At 60.3% G+C, this 22,505-nt stretch overlaps 1 protein-coding gene and 1 non-coding gene across 11 annotated transcripts, besides 4 other annotated features; both read right to left on the bottom strand.

The window, feature by feature from the left end:
* Window positions 207-997: an enhancer, noted in NCBI's record as "H3K27ac-H3K4me1 hESC enhancer chr11:65404393-65405183 (GRCh37/hg19 assembly coordinates)". NCBI's record gives its function as "activates a minimal SCP1, AML or CMV promoter by ChIP-STARR-seq in primed H9 embryonic stem cells {active_cell/tissue: H9 hESC(primed)}" and the evidence as "EXISTENCE:reporter gene assay evidence [ECO:0000049][PMID:30033119]".
* Window positions 480-22,143, bottom strand: PCNX3 (pecanex 3). Of its 10 annotated transcripts, none has more exons than XM_011545024.3 (35): window positions 21,455-22,143; window positions 20,908-21,095; window positions 20,570-20,669; window positions 20,410-20,449; window positions 20,213-20,308; window positions 18,852-19,979; window positions 18,259-18,382; window positions 17,987-18,165; window positions 17,490-17,580; window positions 16,953-17,088; window positions 15,553-15,713; window positions 14,275-14,428; window positions 13,958-13,990; window positions 13,553-13,724; window positions 13,338-13,448; window positions 12,903-12,994; window positions 12,639-12,748; window positions 12,409-12,514; window positions 12,175-12,267; window positions 11,865-12,015; window positions 10,871-11,015; window positions 10,337-10,514; window positions 9,216-9,324; window positions 8,971-9,100; window positions 8,504-8,562; window positions 8,184-8,399; window positions 7,315-7,568; window positions 3,563-3,793; window positions 3,278-3,381; window positions 2,799-2,946; window positions 2,471-2,701; window positions 2,116-2,390; window positions 1,612-1,745; window positions 1,230-1,528; window positions 480-1,153 (listed from the first exon to the last, which is right to left on the bottom strand). In XM_011545024.3, exons 1-35 carry the CDS (start codon window positions 21,605-21,607, stop codon window positions 941-943), a joined length of 6,144 nt encoding a protein of 2,047 aa, XP_011543326.1. In that variant the 5' UTR covers window positions 21,608-22,143; the 3' UTR covers window positions 480-940. The 10 variants fall into 10 exon arrangements, with proteins under 10 accessions (XP_011543326.1, XP_006718612.1, NP_115599.2 ...); XM_006718549.5 differs by having other exon boundaries at window positions 15,553-15,695; NM_032223.4 differs by having other exon boundaries at window positions 15,553-15,674.
* MIR4690 (microRNA 4690) lies at window positions 1,550-1,609 on the bottom strand. The gene has a single exon (NR_039839.1). It is a non-coding gene; the product is annotated as a microRNA 4690 (primary transcript).
* Window positions 21,649-21,898: a silencer, noted in NCBI's record as "silent region_3546". NCBI's record gives its function as "represses an Ori minimal core promoter by ATAC-STARR-seq in GM12878 lymphoblastoid cells {active_cell/tissue: GM12878}" and the evidence as "EXISTENCE:reporter gene assay evidence [ECO:0000049][PMID:35858748]".
* Window positions 22,029-22,078: an enhancer, noted in NCBI's record as "active region_4996". NCBI's record gives its function as "activates an Ori minimal core promoter by ATAC-STARR-seq in GM12878 lymphoblastoid cells {active_cell/tissue: GM12878}" and the evidence as "EXISTENCE:reporter gene assay evidence [ECO:0000049][PMID:35858748]".
* Window positions 22,089-22,238: an enhancer, noted in NCBI's record as "active region_4995". NCBI's record gives its function as "activates an Ori minimal core promoter by ATAC-STARR-seq in GM12878 lymphoblastoid cells {active_cell/tissue: GM12878}" and the evidence as "EXISTENCE:reporter gene assay evidence [ECO:0000049][PMID:35858748]".

Raw genomic sequence — 22,505 nt, 5'->3', positions numbered from 1 at the left:
CGGGAGGGCTAGCGGAGGCCACCTAGCGTCCAGCTCCCGGCCAGCAGGTGCTCAAGAGTCTGCCACTATTTTATGGAGCACTTGCTAAGCACTGGGCCCTGGGCAACCATTCCACTAGCGCGCTCTCATTTATTCTAAAAACACCTTAGATAGGTGTCATCTCTTTACGCCCTGGAGCAGCTGAGGTGCAGAGAAAGGCTTTGGCCAAGAACAAGCCTGATAAATGTAGGAGCCACCAGACCTGGAAGTCTGACCATATGGTGGGAAATGGCAGACAATACCCTTCAGATAAAGGCTTGAAAAGGGAGCAGCCATGCGGTGAAGAGGACCCGGTTCTACCTGAACCCCACCTTGGTCTGCCCTTGATCTCTACTAGACTTCAGCCCCACATCCTTCACCCCTCTGCGTGCTTGTCCATCCCAACTTAGCCGCCTGTACTATCATGTACCCATTCCCAGGTAGAAAAAGAAACTGCCAACCAAAATCAAAAATAGTGTTATTAATTCTGATGTCTCCGAAGCACAAAAAAAAAAAAAAAAAAGAAAAGAAAAAAAAGGAAAGAAAGAAACCACCCTTCCCACAATTCAGGCCCCAGGTCCAGGCCAAGGGGGCCACACCTGCAGGCAGTGCAGGCCCAGGGGCTGAGGTGGTCCTGGCCACAGGCTCCAAGTGGGACCAGCCCATGGTTTGGCTCTTAGGGCCTGGCTGGGAGGCTGACTGCCTCCATCTGGGGAGCCCAGGCCCTGGACTGGGGATGAGAGAGATCAGGGGTCAAGGTCAGAGGTCTGGGTCACTCAGTTTTGGTACTCTGGCCAAGGCAGCCAAAGGTCAGGGTTCAGACATGTAGGCCAAAGCCACTCAGTTCTGTGGTCCAGCAGAGAGGCAGCAGAGCAGGTCCGTTACTGAATCCTAGGAGGTGGTCCAGTGGGCGCCAGGTAGCTCAGTACTGGTGTTCCAGCAGGGGCTGGGCTGCCGGGCTCTCACGCTCCTCAATAGGGGCAGGCCAGTCGCCCAGGGCACCCATAGGTGTGCCACTCTCAGGGGCACTGCTGTCCAAGCAAGGAATGTCCTGGGAAGCTCTGGGGGGTGAGGCCTCAGTGCTGACATCGGGGCTGAGGCTGAGGCTGAGGCTGAGGCTGAGGTCTAGAGGCGCCTGGGGGAGGGGGGAGAGGTTGGCGGGTGAGCAGGCCTTAGCCTTCTGGGACCCAACCCTCCCACAGGTGCCTTACCTGAGATTTGGGGGTACCTCCTTTGGGGCTCCCTGAGGCTGGCTCCCCGTCAGATCCTCCCAGCCCCTTCCGGCCCCCCAGGCTCCACTTTCCACTGGGGCCCTCAGAACTGAGGAGACCCGGGCCAGGGGGCCGTGAGGTCCGGGGACCCTCTGTGGGGATAGGCGATGCAGGGGGTGGTCCAGGGAGCCGAGGGGGAGGCCACTGCAGCAGAGGTGGGGGCCGCCCATCACCAGAGCCACTCAGGGAGGACCGCGGCCCCCAGCCAGGGCCTGGTGGGAGGGGTTGGTCACCATTGCCTGTAGGAGACAGATAAGACAGCAGAGGCCTCAGCTGGGCTGCACTCCTCACCCACGGGTTCAGCCCAGCCTCGCCTGCTCACCTGCCGTGTTCTCAGGTGTGGGGTGTGCCACGGGGGGGTTATTGCTGAGGGAGGTCAGGCCACCGCCCCCACTACAGTCTGAATCATCCACGTTCCCGCCACTATTGCAGCCGGCGCCACAGCCCTTGTGAAGCCTGGGGGTGGAGAGGTAGAAAAGGGATCAGGAGGGACACGGCTGAGGCCAGAGGCCTCACAAGCATGAGTCCTCAGCCCCAGGACAAGTCATCTAACACCTCTGAGCCCCAGGATCCTCCCCTCTAAGAAGCTGCCACCTACTTTGCAGAGTCTTTTGAGGGTGCGTTGTCAACAGTGCTTGATGACTAAAGGCCACTGTCAGCTCTGGGGGTAAGGTGACATCTAGGAGGGGCAGGTCAGCTCTGGGAGGGGGTCATCTCTCGGGATTCAAGCCCTGGCTCCAGCACGTCCTCCCTCTGAGACCCAGGAGGGACGTACTGCACCTCAGCTTCCTCCCGCGCCACACGTCACCCCTTCCCGAGGCCTCACCTCTCCCAGGTGCGCAGGAGCCAGTGGGCAATGGCACCCAGGCTGATGGGGCCACCCCACAGTGCCCGTAGCTGGGGGTGGCTGCCAGCCAGCGAGGTGGTGAGAGGCGACACGTAGATGGGGTAGCCCAGCGGCTGGTCACAGGAGGAGTTGATCATGTTGCGAAGCGCCTGCTTGGCGTTCTGGATGCTGCCACGCTCGGGGTTGCGGTTGCGCAGGAACACCAGCTCCTGCTGCTGCCCGGCCCACAGGCCGCGCACGCACTCCCGGTTCACCTGAGAGCCACACGCCAGGGTCAGGGGGCCGGCCCAAGGGGGTTTGGGGCAGGGCTTAGGGCAGGTGGGGCCGGCCCAACCTTGATGACTCGGAAGCTGAGGTGGCGCCGGTTGAGCATGATGATCTTGTACTCGTCGGAGGCATCATCCAGGACATGGCGCAGCGCCAGCAGGGAGGGCGTGTTGCTGAGGATGGCGCTGCGCCATGCTGGGTCACCCTCATGTGAGATGACCAGCCGCTCCTCGTTGGCCGCAATGGCATCGTATAGGGCTGCTGGCTCCTCATATTCATCTGGGGACGTGAAGTGGTCCTGGTAGAGAAGACGGGAACAGGGGTCAGTGGCCCCTGCCCTGGAGAGAGGCTTCATCCCCCACCTGCCCATGCTGCTGGGCACACCCCTCCCCAACCTGGTGAAGCTTGAGGGCCATGCGAACCCCAGGCGCCACAACGCGGTGAAGCAGGTCCATGTCGGCAAAGACCCACTCGTCACGTGGGGAGGTGATGCGAAAATCCCCCTTGAACAGGGCGTGCAGGCCGTAGAGGAAGGGCTCCAGGCTAAGTGGGAGGAAAAACAGGGAGGGGAGAGAGGGGTGTCGAGGACCCAGGGGTAAGGCTTCAGAGTGATCCAAGCAGAGGCCTTTCCTCACGCTGAGCCTCAGTTTCCCCATCTTGACAAAGAGGCCAATCTCTGCCCATGTCTCTCACAGAGCACTGAGGAGCAGGCAAGGTCATGACCAGGAAGTGCCCTGCCCGTGGGAGAAGAGGTACCCCAACAGGAAGGGCCACTGCAGTTTCTGTGGCCACTGTGGCCAGAGACCACAGTGCTCTTCGTGGAAGAGGTGGGGTGGGGACGGCAGTAGGCCCCGCGGGACACCCGAGCACTCACCTTGCAGACATGCTGTGAGAGGCTGTCCCCAGGGCCCGGCGGCCCAGCACACACAGGCCAAAACACAGCGTGACCAGCGGGGAGTTCCAATCCTGGTCCACGGGCTGTGGCATAAGGACCCCCATCCCAGAGCCCAGCTCAGACCTGGGACAGGGACCTTGGAGTGGGGGCTGGGGCTCAGGCTAAGGGAGGCTCAGAGTGAGAGGAAACCAAATGGGGAGAAGGGGAGCAGGGAAGCCCAGGTCCCACAGCCCCAGGTGGCAGCCTCAGGTAGTGGAGCCTGACCTGGCTGCGCCGGGAGGCGCAGTACTGGATCCACTCGAGGTGCACAGCACAAAAGGAGGGCAGCGAGAGGCCAGACAGGCGGAGGTCATAGTCCTCATCCACACTCAGCGAGAAGGTGGGATCCGAGTCGGCATAGCCGGGCACCCGCACAGGCCTCAGGGCTGCCGTGATGCCCTCATGGCTGAGCCACACCTCCAGCTTTGGTGAGCGGCTCACGTAGTAGATGATGCTCTGGGAGAGGAGGGGCAGGCGTCAGGCCGGGGTCCCGGCCCTGGCCACTGGAGGAGAAAGCATGGAGGTTCAGAGGCTCCTCCCCAAGACTGAGCTGAAGTCCGCTTTCTGGGATGCCCCGCTCCTAGAGCCATCTCAGCTCTCAAGAGCAACCAAGCAAGTTGGCTCCTTCCCCTAGACCAGGGAGGAGTGACAAAGCCGCCAGGAAGCACCCACTTACAGAGCAGGAAGTCCTGTGCTGGGGCTAGCACTCACAAGCAGCATCTGCCTGCCTCTGCCCTAGAATATGCCCCGTTTGTATGAGAAATTGAGGCTCAAACAAATGGCAGCCCCCAACGAGAACAAGATCATCACACTCAACATTTACCACCTCAGCTTCCAAGTCATCAAGGTGGAGCTGGCCCCACCTGCCCTGAACCCTGTCCCCCACCCGCCTCTGGCTGGCCCCGACACTATGGTGTGGCCCTCAGGTGAACCTTCAGTGCCTGTGCAGCACGTGGGCCAGGTAGCAGCAGGAGCTGGTGTTCCTGCACAAACATAACCCCGAGCGCGGGAGCATCCAGATGTCACATGGGCAGGGGGCGGGGAGCGAGTGGGGCAGAACAGACTGAACTGCCGCCTGAACCCCGGACCTTCCCCATCATGACATTGTGGGATCCAGATCTCGGGGCCGGAAGGGCAGGCTGAAGTAGTGGGCCTGCCTCAGAGTGCCTGGGTCACAGGTCCCTTTAGGCAGCTGAAGCATGACAGCCATCAGGCCTCGCCTCAGAAAAAAGCCACGGGCACATGTGGTACCCAAAGCTGGGGGCTCCTGGACCTCTTGTTAAAAGGCCCTGTTGGGCAAAAGTACAGGAGCTTTGGAAGACAGGTAGCTGGCATGGCCAGGATGCACGGGCGGGTTAAGGCCGGCAGGGCAGCCAGTGAGGTGATGGGGATTCCATGTGCCACCCTAAGATGGAGCTAATGGGGCAGGCCCTTTGCCAGGGCAGACCCGCTCCAGACTGACTTTCTTGCCCATAGCTCGCCTCTACAATCCAGGCACCACCAGAGCTGCTAAAAAGACCCAGAAAAGAAAAGCTTCAGCCAGACAGGGTGGCTCACACCTGTAATCCCAGAACTTCGGGAGGTGGAGGTGGGAGGATCGCTTGAACCCAGGAGTTCAAGACCAGCCTGGACAACATGGCGAAACCCCATCTCTACAAAAAATACAAAAATTAGCCAGGCATGGTGGTGCATGCCTGTAGTCCCAGCTACCTGGGAGGCTGAGGTAGGAGGATTACTTGAACCTGGGAGGTGGACACTGCAGTGAACCCAGATGGCACCACTGCACTCCAGCCTGGGTGACAGAATGAGACCTTGTTTCAAAAAAAAATAAAAAAAAGAAAAGCTTCAGGGACCGGGAGAGGAGCTGGCCTGGCACATATCAGGTGCTTGGTTAACCTTCACCAGTGCCATCCTTTTCTCTGACACAACACTCACGGTCATCTTAGGAAGAAAATGAAGACGGGGGGCAATACCAGCAGCCGCTCCGCCTGTGAGCGCTCACTGCGAGCTGGGCTCTGCCCAAGGTACTTCCCGGGAAGCACTGCCCAGACTCCGTGCAGCCTCAAGCCACGGTGCCTTTTCCTGCTCTTGTAGCCCTTCCCAGCTGCAGAAGCAGGTCTGAGAGCCCAGTAACTCCCACGGGAAGGGCAAAGCTAACGGGAGGGGCTCCGCCTCGACTGGCCAACCTCGAAGGCTGGAAAGGACCTATCCCTGCAGCTGGGACACTTCCCCAGATGCACCAGGCTCCCCAGCACACCCGCCTCCCCCCGCCCCACCCCTGGCAGCCCTGACTTGTCCTTCCAAGCTTCACCCTCAGTCCACATCCTCAGCGGAGCCACCCCAGGTCCTCCAAGCACTTCCTCCAGACTCAAATTCTGCCCAGCCTTTGAGGCAGCCTTAGATGTGGCCAGTCAGCTTCCCCATGGGACAAGAGACCTGGCCAGGTGCATCTCAACCTGCTGGCCCTAGCCTAGCAGGCACAGCAGGGCAACCTGGGCAAGGGCACCTCTCTCAAGATGGGACCGGAAGGTGGACCAGGCCATGACCTCTCGGTGACCTGGGACTGGGAATGTCCCTCTCTAGACACAGCCTCCTTCTTGATGAAAGGGGGGTGGTCTCACAAATCCTTGCCTAGGAGTGGCTGGGAGGGCAGAAGGAATGACAAATGACAGCTCCTCTGATATGTGGTGTGGACAGGATTTCCTTTGGAGAAGGACAGCCAGGGCCTCGTGAAACTACTCCAGAGAGAACCTAGGTGGCAGGCTCACCTGGGCCCCAGTAGGCCACCCACCGAGCCCAACATAGGGAGCACCAGGGTAGATCCTAAGAAGGCACGTGGGAGCCTGCACTGTGATCAGCAGGCCACCCCACTCCCAGTACGCTTATTCTGAGCACCACAAGCCTCAAAATTCCTTTTTTTTTTTTGAGACAGTCTTGCTCTGTTGCCCAGGCTGGAGTGCAGTAGCACGATCTCGGCTGGCTGCAACCTCTGCCTCCCAGGTTCAAGTGATTCTCCTGTCTCAGCGTCCCAAGTAGCTGGGACTACAGGTGCCCGCCATCACACCCGGCTAATTATTTTGTATTTTTAGTAGAGATGGGGTTTCGCCACATTGGCCAGGCTAGTCTCAAACTCTTGACCTCAAGTGATCCACCTGCCTTGGCCTCCCAAAGTGCTGGGATTACAGGCATGAGCCACCACGCTTGGCCAAGCCTCAACATTTCTGCCATCTCAGAGAACTGCAATAACCCCCACTTCTCAAGGGGTAAGCTGAGGGACACAGGGAAGAAACATTCCAGGCTGATCAGAACCCCCATTCCAGGGCTCCTTATGTACCCCACATTGCCTCACCAACCCCCTCCCACCCCCAAGAGGTCTCAAGATCCTCAGGCCTGGCTCAGAGCCCCCAGGCTAAGGCAGGAAAGCTCTGTGGCTCAGGGCCAGCCTGGGTTCAAGGCCTGGCTTGGCCATTTTCTTCAGATTCTGGAACCTCTGCAAGCCAACTTCCACATCTGTGAGATAGCAGGGCCCCTCTCAAAGGGTGGGGGACTCCACCCAGCTCAGGAGAGATGCCCAGCATAGCGCCCACCCGTGGTAAATGTTACTGCTCAAGCAGCTGCTCCCATGATGATCGTTAACGTGACAACTGTTAGCTCTACCACTGCTCTGTGCTGGGTGAGCTGGGGGCAGGGGCTGGTGGTTTCAAAGGCTGGCCTCTGCAACTGCCCACCTGCCCCATACTCACTGCCCAAAGCAAGCCTTCCTTGCCTGGGCACCTATCAGAGCCATATGGGCACAGAGGCCCCTGCAACCTGAGGTCTGGCAGTGGCACCTCAGGGGACACTTAAACTCTCTGAGGCCTCAGCTTCCCTTGGACAAAACAGGCTCCCAACAACCCAGAAAGGGGGTACTGGGGCCTCTGGTCAGCGAGCGCTCACCCGCAAGGGCCCTGCTGCCCGGCCACACCTGCCCACCGTACCTTGACATAGTAGGTGATGAGGATCTTGCGGAGGTCGAAAACCTGCAGCATGGAGGCAGCATTATTGTCACTAATGCTATAGCCCTCCAGCACGTACTTGCTGGCTGTTACCTCCCAAGCCAGCCAGCGCTGCCCAAAGGCAGCATTGAAGGACAGGACCCGTGGCAGGTGGCCAGGTTCACAGCAGCAACAGCCCTCGTCCTCCTCCACACCCTCGGTGATAGCCTCCACCTCGCGCTGCTGGCAGTAAGTGCCTGTGGAGGAGGGGTGTGCAGTCAGGGGCTGCTAGAACAATCCCTACCTGCCCTGTCCTGGGAGAGTGACCAACATGGCATCAGAGGCCTGCTGCCATTCACCCCCTTGGACGCCAGGGGAGTCAACCTTATTGGATGCCAAGATTCACGAAAGAGCGCCTGCCTTTCTCCTCCCAACTCCCAGCATCCAAGGGCAGGGCGGGAGGGAGCAGGGACACGGTCTGGCCCCTCTGCACTCTCGGGCATCCAACACACACGTCTTCCTGAGAGGAAGGAGCTGGCTCACTCATGGCGCCCAACCCATGGGCCAAGCCTGAGACCACAGAGCAGGCTGGGTGTGAGAACTCAGACCTCCAGGCCCAGGCCCTCACTGCAGTGACCTGTAGAGTCACTGGGACCTAAAGTTGGGGCAGGCACAGGGCTTGGCCAAGAGACCCTGCCACCTCATTGCTCAGACTGGGAAACGCAGGCCCAGGGAGGAGGAGTGCCTTGCCCAAGGCCACCCGCCAGCCTGGACAGAGCTGGACTGGACCTCCTTCGCACGTGCTATTGAACACAGCTCCCACATCAGGCCCGAGCTGTGCCTGCCCACCCGAGCCTGGTCCTGCGGCTCACCCCGGAACTCAAGGCCACGCAGCTGGAAGGTGACGAGGCCATTGCCAACCTCGATGAGGTGCACCAGGGCGTTGAGGTAGTCAGAGGCCAGGACGAAGCAGTCACCAGGGCCATAGTTGCCCCAGCGGCCCAGCACCAGGTCCCCACACAGTGTGTGCTGCAGCGAACGTGTCAAGTGCTCATAGAAGATGGAGTTGAGGTTGTTGTCATCAGCGCCTAAGACCCAGAACAGACGGGCAAATGGACAAAGTGACAAGTTAGCGAGGCTCCCTCCCCAGGGAGGCCCTGCCCTAAAGCCCCTTGGATGGCTGGGTACACACCAGGGTTCCTGTCCAGCTGTGTGACCAGGCGGGTGTTGGAATGATCCACACGTTTAGTGCTGTTCAGAGAGAGTGCAACAAGGCGGTTGGCCAAGAAGGTGAAGAGAGGGTGCACCCTGCTCATGCTCTCCCTGTGCCACAAGGTCAACGCCATCCAGGACAGCCCCGTTATGCAGGCAGATGAGGAGACTGAGGCTCAGGTACATGAAGGGACTCACACAGGACACACAGCCAAGAAGCTGGGAGGCTAAGCTCATCCCCAGACCCCACTATCCCCAAGCTGTGAGCCTGAAGCCTTGGCCTGGTGCAGGCTCTCCCTGCATTGGATCTGCCGCCTCATGTGTCCCCACTGTGACCAAGCCCTCCCATACCTGCTGTGGGCCCCTCTGTGGGTGGCCTCCAGCCTGGGCTCCAAACCTCTCCCTTCCTGCCCTGCTGGGCATGCTCCCGCCTCCTGTGAGACTCACTTGTAGTCGCGCTCCCAGAACTTGAGGGGCCGAGCGTAGGACATGATGAAGACGGCACTGCCTAGCAGTGGGTTGAGAGGCGTGGAGAAGAGCCCCGAGAGCAGGGCCTGGACGAACAGCATGGCCGAGTCTGAGCCACAGTCAAGGAGGCGGCGGGCAACAGGACCTCCCAGCCCCCCACCACCCCCCACTGCCCCAGGCCACAGCCCTCCCTGCACACCCCCACCCAAACACAGGCTGGATACGTGGCACGGCAAACGGCTGGGCAAAAGCGTGGAAAGCCGAGCCCCAGGTGATCTGCCAGGGCGCGATGTAGGTCAGCACGAAACGCAGCTTGTACAGCAAGTCCCACAGCTGGCAGGGCCAACAGGGAGAAGAAAAAAGACATGCAGGGTCACTCATGGAAGCCCCCGGATGCCAGGCCCCATTCAGAGGCTTGGGTCATCGCACTGGCTTGGCCCACGGGGGCCAAACTCAAGGTCACTGCCAGCCCTTGTGCTCTGGACATGGCTCAAGGCGCCTGATGCCATTAGCAACCCCTGCCTGAGCTCAAAGGGGGCGGTGGCCATTTAGTTCACACAAGTACCCTGTGAGCTTCTTATTCCTATTGCTGGCCCCTTTTCACAGATGGGAAAGTTGAGGTTCAGTGAAGACAGAGAAGATAAATGACTTCCTCAGGTCACGCCACTAGGTCACTGGTGAGGCTGAAGCTAGACTATAGTACTGAAAATTGAGAACAGCCACAGGCCCTGCCCTCAGAGGGTACGCAGTGTGGATGACCGCCATCCTGGGCCAGGCCAGAAAACAAGAACAGAATGCCCACGTGAGGAAGAAAAAGGCTCAGGCCTGCCTGGGGTTCCAGGTACCACTGCTGGCCTCCAGTAGAGTGTAGGAGCATGGTTCCTTAGTTCAAAGAGCCCCCCAAGCCGTGGCAATGCCACAGCCGGCAGAGCACCTATACACACCCAGGCACTAGGGGCTTCTGAAACTCAGCTCGGACTGCTCTGGATCCAGGGTGGCAAAAGAGCGTGGAACTCAGAGGTCTGCGTCCAGAGGATAAGGCCAGGTCCTGATTACCCTAACCATTTCTGAGGAGGTGGTCGTGGGGTCAGACAGGCCTGGGTTCAAATCCTGGCTGACCACCAATTCTCTGGAAGCCTGAGGCAAGTCCCTCAACCTCCTTCAGCCTGCTTCCTCTCTGTAGAGGGTGGAAGTAACCCCTTCCTTGAGAGGCTGCTGCAAAGGCCCACGGGGCTGATACAGAGCGGTGGCCACAGGCCCTCAGGAAATTCTCTTCCCACCCAGGCAGAAGTTGGCTCTGCTCCCATTGGACAGCCTGGGGTCTGGGCCACAGCCACCAACTCACCTTGCTGCAAAGCAGGGACATGAGGAAGTAGTCAAGCAGAAAGCCCTGGGAGAGGCGCGGGTAGTCAAAGTGGAAGAGCAGGACGGTGAAGGCCAACGTCAGGTACTGCTGTGGGGGGCAGCAGAAGGCTGAGCGCAGCAGCTTCAGCCCAGCCACGGTCATCAGCAGCGCCCGGCAGCTGTGGGCAAGGGGCAGGCATCGGGTGCTTGGTAGGGGACCGGGGCAGTGGGTATAGGTGTCCCATCCCTCGCCTACTCTGGCCGGAGAGCAACCCCTGGCCTCTGCTCTGCTGGGCTGGTCCCTGCTCTTTTGGGCCCGTGACTCTTAGTCTCTGCTCTTCCAAAGGGAGTGGTGGGAACACATTTGCCTTTGAAGAAGCAACCACTTCCTGGGATGGCGTGTCAGGAGCTGGGGTCCTGCTTTAGCTTGCTAAACAACCTTAGACATGATTCATTCCCTCTCTAGGCCTCAGTTTCCCCACGGATCAAAAGGGAAAGCGGATGATGGGATCGTTGAGGGTGGGGTGGTCCTCACTAGAAGCAGTACTTGTCCGGGTGGCTGACGACTGTGTGGGCGTCCACCGTGAGGGCGTTGAGCACCACGGCGGGGTAGATGAGGTACTTCTCTACGCACTGCAGGCCAGCATACAGCTTCTCAAACCACATCACCTGGGCGGCACCTGTGTGGAGAGGCCAGGACTCTGCACCTGGCTTCCACATGCCTGCCTTCCCTGAGGAAGTCCTTCCCTAGGAGGGCAGGCTGTGCGGTCCTGACTCCTCGGAGACCCTGGGGGGAGGGGCTGATCTGTGGCAGCTCAAATGGGAGCAGCGAGCCCCAGCAGGGCAAGGGCTCCACATGGCACTTAGCACATCGAGGCTTGCTTTATGGCAGGTGCTCTGCTCTGCTGTCTGTTAAAACAAGGCCAATGATGAAATCGCAAACACCTACGTACAGCAGGCTGGCTAGGGCCTGAGTGCACAGTGAGCCCGTGAGCTGGGCCCTTCTAAAGGGCAGACCCCTCGGTTCAGGCTGGTTGTAGCCACAGAGGGATGCTAGTCTGGGAAGCAAAATCTTCTGTCGTTTAAGAAAAACTCAAGAAACATGGATCTTCATATCTCAAATCGAGATGCTAAAATAGAGGCTCCAGGATTTTTTAAAAACCATTATGCAGCCCAGTGAAGATGTGCTCCAGGCAGCTCTGGTCCACTGGTGATCAGTGTTTAATTCTGGACAAGAGATCCCTTCAGGGCCCTGGGGTTCTAATTCTTCCGTCTTCTCACAGACAGGAAGGAGGGCAGGACCAGGGCAACACAGGCAAGGGAAGGGCACAGCAGGGCACGAGGAGAAGAGTCGGTGGAGAGCGCAGCCGGGCAACACGGACACAGAGGGCAGGGAGGGAGCAGAAAGGGTAGTGTGGGCAGCGAGTGCCCCCTGCTGGCACTCCTGAGCCGAGAGGACCACAGCTCCCACCAGCCAGGCTGCAGCCCGAGCCACTGCCCAGGCCTGGCCATCAGGGGTGGGCACTCACCGCGCACTTCATACTGGCTGTACTCCAGCGGCTTCAGCACGGGCTGTGACAGGCAGAACCAGGGCAGCTGTTTGCGGAGTTGTGGCAGCAGGTAATGTGTGAAGAAGCCCACGGCCCCAGCCAGTGCGTACAACACGAAACCCAGCACCGACTGCAGGAGGGAGAGGCCAGAGACTCAGCTGATGGGAGCAGGCCAAGGGACCACAGAGGGCCACCTGGCACAGGCCGGGGAGGGGCTGCCCACGGCACTCAGATTGAGCAGGCTCCCGCCAAGACAGCGAGAGGCAGCAGCGGCCCATGCCACACAAACCTTCAGGGCAATAAAGACGGTGCTGGCGCTGATGGCGAAGGTGAGCACGGCGATCACCACACACATCACCAGGTCGGAGTGCAAGACCTCACGCTGCAGGGCCAGGAGAGACATTCAGCTGCCCGGCCAGGAGAGACACTCAGCTGCCCAGCAGCCCAAGCTGGACATGCCCCTCCCAGGAACCCCAGGACCTGTCACCACCTCCCCACAGACCCCCACCCCCCGCCCCCTCACCACCGACTGGCGCATCTTGTCCGGCAAGGGGTCCGGGGGCTCGGCCCGGGCTGTCTCCAAGCTGCGCTCCTCCAGCTCAGGGAACAGCTTGCTCCGGATCAGAGACCTGGGGGTGAGGAAGAGTCAGGAGGAGGCCGCCCCTCCTTCCCCCCGGCCCCAGTCACGGGCACATGCACAGACCACAAACCCCTACTGGGCAGACACAAACACACGACCCGGAGCACACCCACCAGAGCACGGTGGGGTCGCTGCTCTGCCGGCTCAGGTGGTAGGACAGTGCCACCAGGAGGCCACAGAAGACTGAGAAGAGGACAGGGACGTGCTGCTCTGGCCACGGAGTCTGCGGAGAGAATCCATGCTGGTCAGGGGAGGTGAGGTAAGCATGGGGCCCGGGCTGCCCCCGTGTGAGAAGCCACTGCTGAGCCCAGTTCACAGCCCCGCCCCAACCACCCTTACGCACTGCAGCATGCCCCCACCTCGCAAGCCACCCCTACCTTGATGGCCCCAAGGCAGAAACCGTAGAGCAGGGCAGCAGCCAGCAGGCTGCGGGAGAGGCTGAAGACTGCCGTGAGCGGGCTGGTGGCAGCTGTGTGGAAGGGAGAAGTACAGCCCAGCTCTCACTTGCAGGTACCCCACCTCAACCCTAGCCGCGCTTCCCCTCAACTCCCAGAGGCTGGCCTCCCTGGAAAGGCACCCCCAGCCCATTGTTCTCTGCTGCCCCAAGCCCCAAGCGGCCTTTAGAGCTTCCAAGATTCTCAGATATAAACCACTTGCCTGGGGAGGGAAGGAGAGGGGAGAAGGCAGAAACCTTGAGTCTGCAGTACAGACGCAGGAGAAGGTTCCGCAAGGGTGGAGCCAAGGACCCAATCCGAGGGCCCTCCTGGGCCTCCACACGGGCCCCATCCCTGAGCCACCTGTGGGCATCATACCTGTGCCCCCGAAGCCGTGCATATCTATTTGCTCCAGCAGGTACATGAGGCAGGTGTTGACCTGGGGCAGGAGGCCCAGGAGGAAGACGAAGGGGAAGCACAGGGTGAACACTGGCAGGGAGGGGACACGAAGGCCTGGTCAGCCTGCTGGCTTTCCGCGGCCCACCCTCGGGGACTCACTCTCCTGGGCCACCTCATCCCTGCCCCAGCCTCACCAGTGGCCACGTCTCGGGCACAGAAGAAGAAGGAGGCAGAGAAGAGCGTGAGGCCGTAGAGGGAGACAGGTGGGAAGGGCTGAGCTGAGCCCAGGGCGTCCAGCAGCCAGATGAGCAGACAGCAGATGCAGAAGTAGACAGGACGGCTGTACGCGATCACCCAGTTGTGGCCCTGAGGGGTCAGCCCATGAGGAGCTGGGTCTCCCCGACTGGCCACACCTCTGACACATGCACACACTCAAGGGCCCCAGGCCTGGCCCTGGGTCCAAGCTGGAGAGCCTGGCCAGGTGGGGGTGATGGGGGTGGTGAGGGAGCCCCAGCCCTCCATACCCTACCCTCCTCCCCACCTGGTCTCAGCCCCTCCCGGGGCCTCCTGGCCAGAGGCGCTGCTCCATGGGTACTCACGTGCATGGGGGACGCCGCATCAGGCTGCACGCTCTGGAAGAGACAGGGCTACGTTGGCAACTAGAGCCGATGCCCACGGGATGGTCAGAGGCCCCAGACCTGTTCAGCTCCACCACTAGGCAGTTATGAGTGACCAGGTCAGGCCCCCGAACTGTCCTGAGCCTCAGTTTTCTTGCTTGTAAAAGAGCTGGCCAGCTCTAGGGAACCTTAGACAAATTATCTACCTTTCAGCTTATACTCCTTAAAACTGGAGTTGTGGGAAGGGCAATCTTGGGAAAAGTCGGGTGGGGAAGGAAACACAGAGAGCCCGGCCTGACCTTCAGCAAGGAGTACTGGCAGGAGGCGATGACCAGGCAGAACTGGAAGACCCAGATGTCAGTGAAGAAGCCCTTGAGCAGCAGCAGGTAGCCCAGGAAGGCCACAAGGCTGCTCAGGCCCACGCCGAAGATGTTCTCCAGCACTCCCCGCGTCCTGCAGGGACAGCCTAGTCAGGGCGTGCCCGTCTTGCCTCACCTTCCAGTGGGGCAGTGGGGAAGATGGATCTTGCCCTAAAGGCCCAGCTCTGGGACTGTGCCCATGCCAGACCCTTGTCCTCTGAAGATGTGAACACCTATAACTTTGCGACGACGCGGCCCGGCAGCACCTGCTCCAGCGACCATTGTATTGCTCTCTCCTTCCCAATCTTTGCCTGCTCTGGACATTGAGGGCTGAGAGCTCAGGGTGCCATTACTCCCGGGATTCATCCATCCCCAGCTGAGACTGAGTTAACTGCACGTGGCTACATCGTGCATGCTGCCTTGGGCGTGCCACGCTATGCACACAGGACCAGCACCCAGTCCCTGTGCCTAGAGAAACCCAGATGGACGGGAAGCCACATGGGCTCTAGGCCCAAGTTCTCTACACTGGGTAGAAGTCATCTGACTTCTCTATTGGATTTTCTGGGACTCTGTGTCCCCTCTGAGAAATGGGAAAAGTGAGATAACTGGTCTGTGAGCTTTTCTAGGTTACAGCACTCGATTTTCAAATCAACAGAAGCTAATAAAAAAAAAGTGAATAGGATGGCCGGGCGCGGTAGCTCACGCCTGTAATCCCAGCACTTTGGGAGGCCGAGGCGGGCAGATCACAAGGTCAGGAGATCAAGACCATCTTGGCTAACACTGTGAAACCCCATCTCTACTAAAAAAAAAAAAATACAAAAATTAGCCAGGTGTGGTGGCGGGCACCTGTAGTCCCAGCTACTCAGGAGGCTGAGGCAGGAGAATGGCGTGAACCTGGGAGGCGGAGCTTGCAGTGAGCCGAGATCATGCCACTGCACTCCAGCCTGGACGACAGAGAGAGACTCCGTCTCAAAAAAAGTTTTTTTCAGCAGGACTTTGGAATAAACAGATTTAATACAGCACCACCCACTTGGCCACCCCTTTACACCACAAATGAACCATAGAAACCACCACTGCAGACTCCAGCCAACGACAGGCCCTCAGCTTCCCCCGAGTCAGGCTCTCTGCTGCCATGACTGCCTCCACAGGTACAGAGTCTGGGGAGCCAAGGTCCAGGGGCTTTCCAAGAATTGGGGGCCAAGGCTGCGGGACACTCACCGGTCCAGCAGAGCCAGCAGGGCAAGCCGCTCATAGCGCACAGAGGTCCAGCGGCCAGGGAGAAGCCAGTACTTGTAACTATGCTGGGCCCGGGGTGGCGCTTCTTCCATCAGTGTCTGCTCCTGGGATTCGTGCAGGGAGTCCTGGTCCAGCAGGTCAAACTGCAGTCCCCACAGCCGCGGCCGTCAGCCCCGCCACCCCCCACATGGTCTACTGTTACCCCCCTTCAGCACACCGGTCTGGTTGACCATTTCCATCAGCACATAAAGGCCCCTGTCTAGCGGCCCTGGACCCCACCAGAACCCTTCATCTGAAAGGGCTCCTCCTCTCTCCAGGTTCCCAGGACGTCGCCCAGTGGCTGCAGGGGCTGCCTAGAGTCACCCGCTCCCACGCCTGTCTTCCCCAGTCAGGCAAACTCTCCCACCTCTTCTGAAGCTCAAGGAAGTCCACTTGTCCTTTGGGACCTGGCACAAATGCTACCCTCCTCCCAGACAGGGCCTGTCACTGTCACTCTGACTACCCCATCCGAGCGTGCATGCAGGGCTCAGCCTTGAGGACATGCCTAGGTGCCAATGCCAGCCCTGAGGCCCTGGGCACATGACTTGACCTCTCATTTGTTGTATCCTTCACTCAACAAGCACTTGTGGGGCCCCAGCTATGGGCCCGGCCCTGCCCTGGGATCCAAGGATAAAATGGCGAGCCAGAGGCACGCAACCCTTCCCTCTGGAGGCGGCCGCCGGCCACGCTTCCACCCCACATGGTTACAAGGAAGAAATGAACCAGAAGCGGGCAGGTGGGAGCTTCTGGGGGCTGCCCAACCTATCTGTGGCCTTGAGGGTCAGGTGCCGGGTACCCTTTTATGATCATTCTTTAAGCTCTAAGATGGCGTTTCACGCATTTTTAGCGCTTCTGGTGTTAATAGATTAAGTATACAAATTTACTGTCCAAACTGTGATATTCTTAAGAGTGACAGAGCGCTGGTAATGAGTATACTGAGACAGGAAGTGTTAACAGAGAGCACCCCAGCAGCCACACGTGCACAGTGTATGCAGGGCAGCACAGTCATCACAGGGTCCCTGCTTGCTAACAGAACACTGCCACTTCCGCAAGTATCATCATTAACACCCATGGCCCCTGTTCACTGTGGGACCCTCCAGAGTTAGGAATGTACTCCAAAGGAATTCGTAGTAAGCAAATAAATGACTTCTCCAGCCATTCAGACCCAGAGTCTCTGCCAACATCAAAGATCAGGACAGACACAGTAGGGCCCCTGGAGCGCTCACTCAGCACTGCCCGTCCCTCCTGGGGCACCTGGGCAAGCTCTCTATGCAGGCCGGACTCAGTGATCTGCCCGCCCCGTCACGCCCCACTGGCACGGCCCTTCCCCGGCTGCTCCTCACCTCCGGGATCTCCAGGGGCACCCGGCGCACCTGCATGCCCTGCAGAACCACAGGCCTCGGCTGCAGCAGGTTCAGGCCGCCTGTAGCCTCAGGGACATCAGCCGAGTGGAAGCTGGAGGAATGCGAGTGTCGGTCCCTGTGAGAACAGCAGCCATCAGGATCCCCCCACGGGCGAGCCCTGGGGCTGGGTGGGGTCGAGGCCGAGGCCAAGGCCAGGCAGGTAGGGCTGTCTGTGCCGAGACCAACCAGGGCTCAAGGGACAAGTGCTGGGGTCAGGTGGCAGAAGTGCCTCCCTCCCAGACCCTGGCACGAGTGTCGAGGCTGTGCCCTGGGCTTCCTAGAAACTTCCTGCCCGGAGTGTCATGGAGCCAGGGACCCCAGGAGGTCTGTCCTTTGCTGCTCCCCATCCTCTCCCTGCAGATCTGAGCTGCCCCTGCCCAAGCCCAGCAGGAAGAGAGCAAACTCCAGGCTCAGGGAACTTCCCAGAGATGCAGGCCACCAAGACAATGGCTTGGGAGGCCAGGCTTGGGAACTCACCAGGCTCCATTAGCTGTCTGCTCCCCTTGCTGCCCTACAGGGTTCTCGTAGCCGCCTCCAGCCAGGCCAAAGGTGTAGGAACGCCGCACACCTGGGGCAGGGTATGGGAGATGAGGCAGCGTGGCAGAGACAGAAGCACCAAGGCCCGGCTCACGTGGGCACCAGACCCATCAAATGAGGCAGAACCTTGTGCTGTGTCCTCTGAGAGGGCAGCCCAGCCTCTGGAGAGGAAAGGGCCTACAGGTCAAGAGCCTGGGCGCGGCAGTCACCTGTCCTAGCTTTAGATCTCCCCTGTACTGTAAGCTGAGCCTCTGTTTCCTCATCAGCAGAGCAAAAGATGACAGAGACACCGTGCCTCAAAGAGGCTGCAAGGATGATGTCTGGCAGCATTAGCAGTGTACCTGCCACAGGGCCGAGCGAGCACCACTGCTAGGAGGACTCAGGCTGTTGGGGGAAGGCGGGGAGGCACTGGGCCACCGGGCTTGGGAAAGGCTCACCGCTCTCATCGTAGAAATAGTGCACAGCACCCTCAGAAGTGTCATCAAAGGTGCAGGCCTCATGCACATTGGCACCGGCCCGGGTGAGCAACAGTGAAGAGGCGAAATGCAGCGCAGAGGGCAGCGTCAGCGCCCGGGAGTGGGAGGCAGCCCGGCCCCGCTGAGCTTCCTGCAGGCTGCTGGAGAGGGTCAGCCCCAGGTCAGCGCCAGCTAGAGCTTGCGGGCCCTCCCCGGCCCCCGGTGCCCCTCGGCACAGCTGGCAAGGTGCTCACCTGGGCGGCGAGCCCATGACAGAGGCTGGAGGGGTGGGGTTGCTGCCTGCATTGTGGCGTCTCCGAATGGCCTGGGTCCGCCTCACACTGCTTGAGCGGTCCCGCCTGCCAGTCTCCTCGGCCGCTGCCCAGAGAGAGGCCCCCAAGTGTAAGTGACAGATGCTCAGACAAGGCTGGGGGAGTAAGGTTGGGGACGGTGTTCCGCCAGGGAGCTAAAGGCCTAGTACAACCACGCCCCGGCTCTGAGGCCCAGCCAGGTCACACAGCCCCATGCTCAGTTTCCTTACTTGCAAACAAGGATGACACTGATCGGCCCTGCCCCACCCCACTGGTGGTGGGAGGATGAGTGTGGATGATGAGAGTCCTCAGGGGACAGAGACTCAGGTGCTAATCAAGGATGTGGAGCCAGGTGGCTGAGCCCCATGTCTAAGAGGTTTGGCAGACAATGTCAATCACCACCAGGCCCACGTCCATCTGCTGCCTACAACCGAGGCTGAGCTGACACTGACCAGGTCCATTCTTACCTGCCCTTTGCCCAACCCCAAGCCCGTAGCTCACGTCCCCCAGCCCCTGCCTCTAGAGCAAGCACTCACCTCCCCCCACAGCACCTTCCTCCTGCAGCTCCCCCCGCCAGCCGGGCTGGTTGGCAGCGGGTCCCCTTCGCGCCTCAGCAGGCAGCACAACAGGCTCACTAGCAGCCTGCTCCACCCCAACCTGGGCCTCCAGCTCTGCCTTGCAGCCAGCCAGTGGGGGCCTCAGAACATCACCCCCAGCCCCATCCATGCTCAGCACACGGGCATGTGTTTTAGCGCTGGCGGTACTAGGCGTCCGCTGGGTCCCATATGGCCGCTTGGGGGGCACAGCAGTTCCCTCCTCAGCCCCATGGGGGGCCCTCCGCTTCCGGGGTCCCCCTGCTGCACCCCGGGAGCTCTCAGGGGAGTAGCAGGAAGTAGAAGAGGAGCTGTCAGTACTGTAGCGGCGCTGCGATCGGAGACTGGAGGCCGGGCTCAGTTCACTGCCCTCACTAGTGTCTTCATCCTCAAAGAAGCCCCCACCTTCAAGCAGGGGCCGTCGAGGGGCACGGCCAGGTGGAGAGTGTCTTCGCAGGGGTGGCTGCCGTTTGCTAGGCCGTAGCAGGGCCAAGTCCTTGGGCCGCACGACCAGGAGCGGCTCAGCCAGGCCCGGTGGCGTCCCTGCTCCAATGACCGTGTCAAAGGAACGCAGCGTGTCATCTGAGGGGACCCCGGCGTCTGGTGAGGCAGGCAGCTCAGCCTCAGAGGGTGGGTCTGTGTCGCTGCCCTCAGGGGCTGGCCCCCCTGGGGGGCTGTCCAGATGGGTGGAGTTGGTCTTCTCACTCTTGAAGCTGCTCAATGTCTCCCTGTCAGTGCCGCTGAAGCAGGAGTCTGAGGAGCCGGCTTTCTGGGGCGTGGGCTCCCCTGAGCCCCGCCGGTCAAGGGGCTGATAGCCACCTGCCCCCCTGCGTTGTTCCCGTCGACTGCTGGTCCTCACCAGGGCCCGGTCAGGCTGGGTCAGGGTCAGGAAGCTCTTGCTCAGCTCCTGGCTGAGGCTCCCCTTCAGCAGGGGGCTCATGGGAGTGTCAGCCATGCTGCTCCCACTCCAGGGCGCTCCATCTCCAGCCAGGGGAGAAGGCTCTGAAGAGTCTGTACTGGCAAGAGAGGGGTCTGGGACAGCCCCTGGAGGCGTCTGGGGAAGGTCTCCAACTGCCAAAATAAAGGGAAACAGAAAATGAAAAAAGGGTTTTCTGCAAAACAAACTAGTGGTTAAGGGAGGTCTTATGCCCTGTACTTTCCCTGAGAGCCCAGCCACAGCAGCACACTGGGGAGGTCCCACAGAGGAATACAGAGGAGACCCAGGATGGAGCCAAAGTTGAGGGGATTCAACAACGAAACAGCTGGTCTAGCCCACAAGCCTCGGCCCCATAAGGCCCACGCACTCAGTTTCTCCTGCGAGCTGAGCTTCAGCATCTCTCGGTCGGCAGAAGTCACGATCACATTGTTGCTGCCCTGCTCCCGCACCAGCTCCTTGATGTCTGCAACCATGGCCCCAGAGGTGTCAGCAGGACCCCCTGGCACAGCACGCCAGCCCCTGTTCCACAGCACTATGCTCCAACCCTGAAGAGCAGCCACCTACCTCTAAGGGGCCCAGAGTCCTCCATTCGGGGCAGCAGCTCCTGAGTAGACAGAGAGCCATGAAGGAACAAACAAGGCAAGAAGTAGGCTCAGGATGCACCCACAGTAGGGACTGGCTCGCAGAGGGACAGGAGGACAAGCTGAGGTCCAGGCCCACTCACCGAGACCTGGTTGAAGCCAAACACAGAGTGCTGGGAGCTGCAGCGCACCGGGGGTGTGGAACTGACTTTCCGGAACACTGTCATCTCCACTCCGGGGTCCCTGGCGGTGAAAAAGAGCAGCAGCTTTGAGCTAACCTCTCCTCTGTGTATGCTACTTCCTCCCATCTTTGTCACTGCTTCTTTTTCAGAAGTCACTTTACAATTCCAGGGCTAACACAGGACAAGTGTTCACAATCACTCAGAGAGCCAATGTTCCCTAAGCCCCTACTCCACCCTGCAAGGTTCCGGCCCAGGCACCAAAAACCCTCAATCCCCAGCACAGCCCCTACCCCACCCACCTGGGTGGATTGCTGTCCCCCTGGGCAGGCTCTTCCTCCAGCTCCCCCATGGTAGAGCTGCGCTTCTCCACGATCTCGCCCTGGTCAAACATGGCATGAAGCCGATAATTGACAGTCTTGATAGTAGCAAAGATGACAGCCACCACGAGGCAGTACACGCCGGCCACCATCAAGCTGGGAGGCAGGACCTGAAGATGAAAGTAAGCCAGGTCCCTTTTCACAAAGCCTCGCCCCCACAGGATGTACCTGCCATCAACATCATAGCTGGGATTCACAGACTCACAAGAAAATTTCATCACCTCTCCACACAACCAGTACACAGACCTCGACAAAGGGCTCTGTATTCTGCTTAGCTGGATGAGATTAAGTGTAGGGTTCAAGGTCACTCGATCCAAGAAAGGAAGACTTTGGCCCCTCTTCCACACAGACCCAAACTCTGCAGTGATTCCTCTCTCTCCACGTCCCAGAGCCCAGGGCACTGCCCTGAATCCCTGCCAGGCTGCCCTCCCTCTCCCGGCTGGAGTTACAGGTGGCCGTGGCGTCTCACCATGTACAGTAAGAAGGGAAAGATGAGCAGGAAGATCCAGACATAGAGGTGGAAGCAGTTGGAGAAGGTGCTCTGGTGCGGGTCGAAGAACCAACCGCCGGTGAGCGAGGCCCACACCCCCTGGCGCAGGATCTGCAACACCTGCGACCCCATGGCCCCGCCGCTGCTGCCCGCGCCCCCCCTCCCGGGACCCTCATGGGGGCGGCCCCCGGCCCATGCCCCGTCTGGCGCCTGAGGGCCCCGGGGCCCGGCCTCACGCTCACGCCATGGCCTCCCCCAGCGGGGGAGGGGGGCTCGGCCGCGCGAGGGTGCGAGCAGGGGGCGGGGCCGGCCGGGACAGTCAGTGGTGCAAGGCCCGGACGCGGGGGTGGGGCTGCATCAGGGGCGGGGTCCGGGTCCCCACTCCTGGCCCAGAATTGCTCCGAGGGGCCGAGCCGGCAGGCAGGCGCGGGGCACGGGCCGGGTACCCGTCGGCGGCATCCAGAGGTGGTCGTGGGGTGGGTGCTCCCGGGGTGCAGGCGACAGCTCCCTAGTCTCCGGACCAGGGAGAACCCCAGGATCTGGGGTCCACTTTCGGGGTCGCAGGTCACTTGCTTGGGGCTCCGCGCTCGCCCGGCTTCTGCTGGTGCCGGCCTAAGGAGGAGGCCGGAAGAAGGAGCCGCGAACCGCCAGCCTGCAGTGGCGCATGCGCCCAACGATTCCAATTGGGACCCGGAAAAGGAAAACTTGACGGCATGAATGCGCAAGCGCAGAAAGGTGATGGCGCGGTAGGACGCGAGGGGTGCCCTTTGGGCGTGCGCAGACTCCAGGACTAAAGCAAGTTCGAGCGTAAAAGCGTTTGGGCGCATGCGTAGACCCAGGCGTTGCCAACCCAGGGTAGACGACTGGGCGGAACCAAAGAGACAGTTGAGTAGCCATTGGGTAACGGCAAAGTAATTGGCGCACAGCTCTTCCAATGAGTTACAGGAGGCGGGGAAAAGGTGGAGGCGTGGACTCCCCTAGTAGCAGCGAGAGTTCTGCACTACCGAAGCACGCCCCTCTCGGCCCGCCC

This window comes from Homo sapiens, chromosome 11, assembly GCF_000001405.40.
Source record: "Homo sapiens chromosome 11, GRCh38.p14 Primary Assembly".
NCBI lineage: Eukaryota > Metazoa > Chordata > Mammalia > Primates > Hominidae > Homo > Homo sapiens.
Note: the sequence above shows the minus strand (reverse complement) of the source record. Positions and strands in the feature narration are given on the sequence as shown.

Bases quoted from the DNA above. Each gene is read 5' to 3' on its own strand.
- PCNX3 (XM_011545024.3), bottom strand. From the start codon at position 21,607: ATGGGGTCGCAGGTGTTGCAGATCCTGCGCCAGGGGGTGTGGGCCTCG. The intron at 18,166-18,258 runs GTGAGCACCTTG...GACCCTCTCCAG, and splicing joins GTCATGGGCTCGCCGCCCAG to CAGCCTGCAGGAAGCTCAGC. The intron at 12,016-12,174 runs GTTTGTGTGGCA...TCCCTCCTGCAG, and splicing joins CCGTCTTTATTGCCCTGAAG to TCGGTGCTGGGTTTCGTGTT.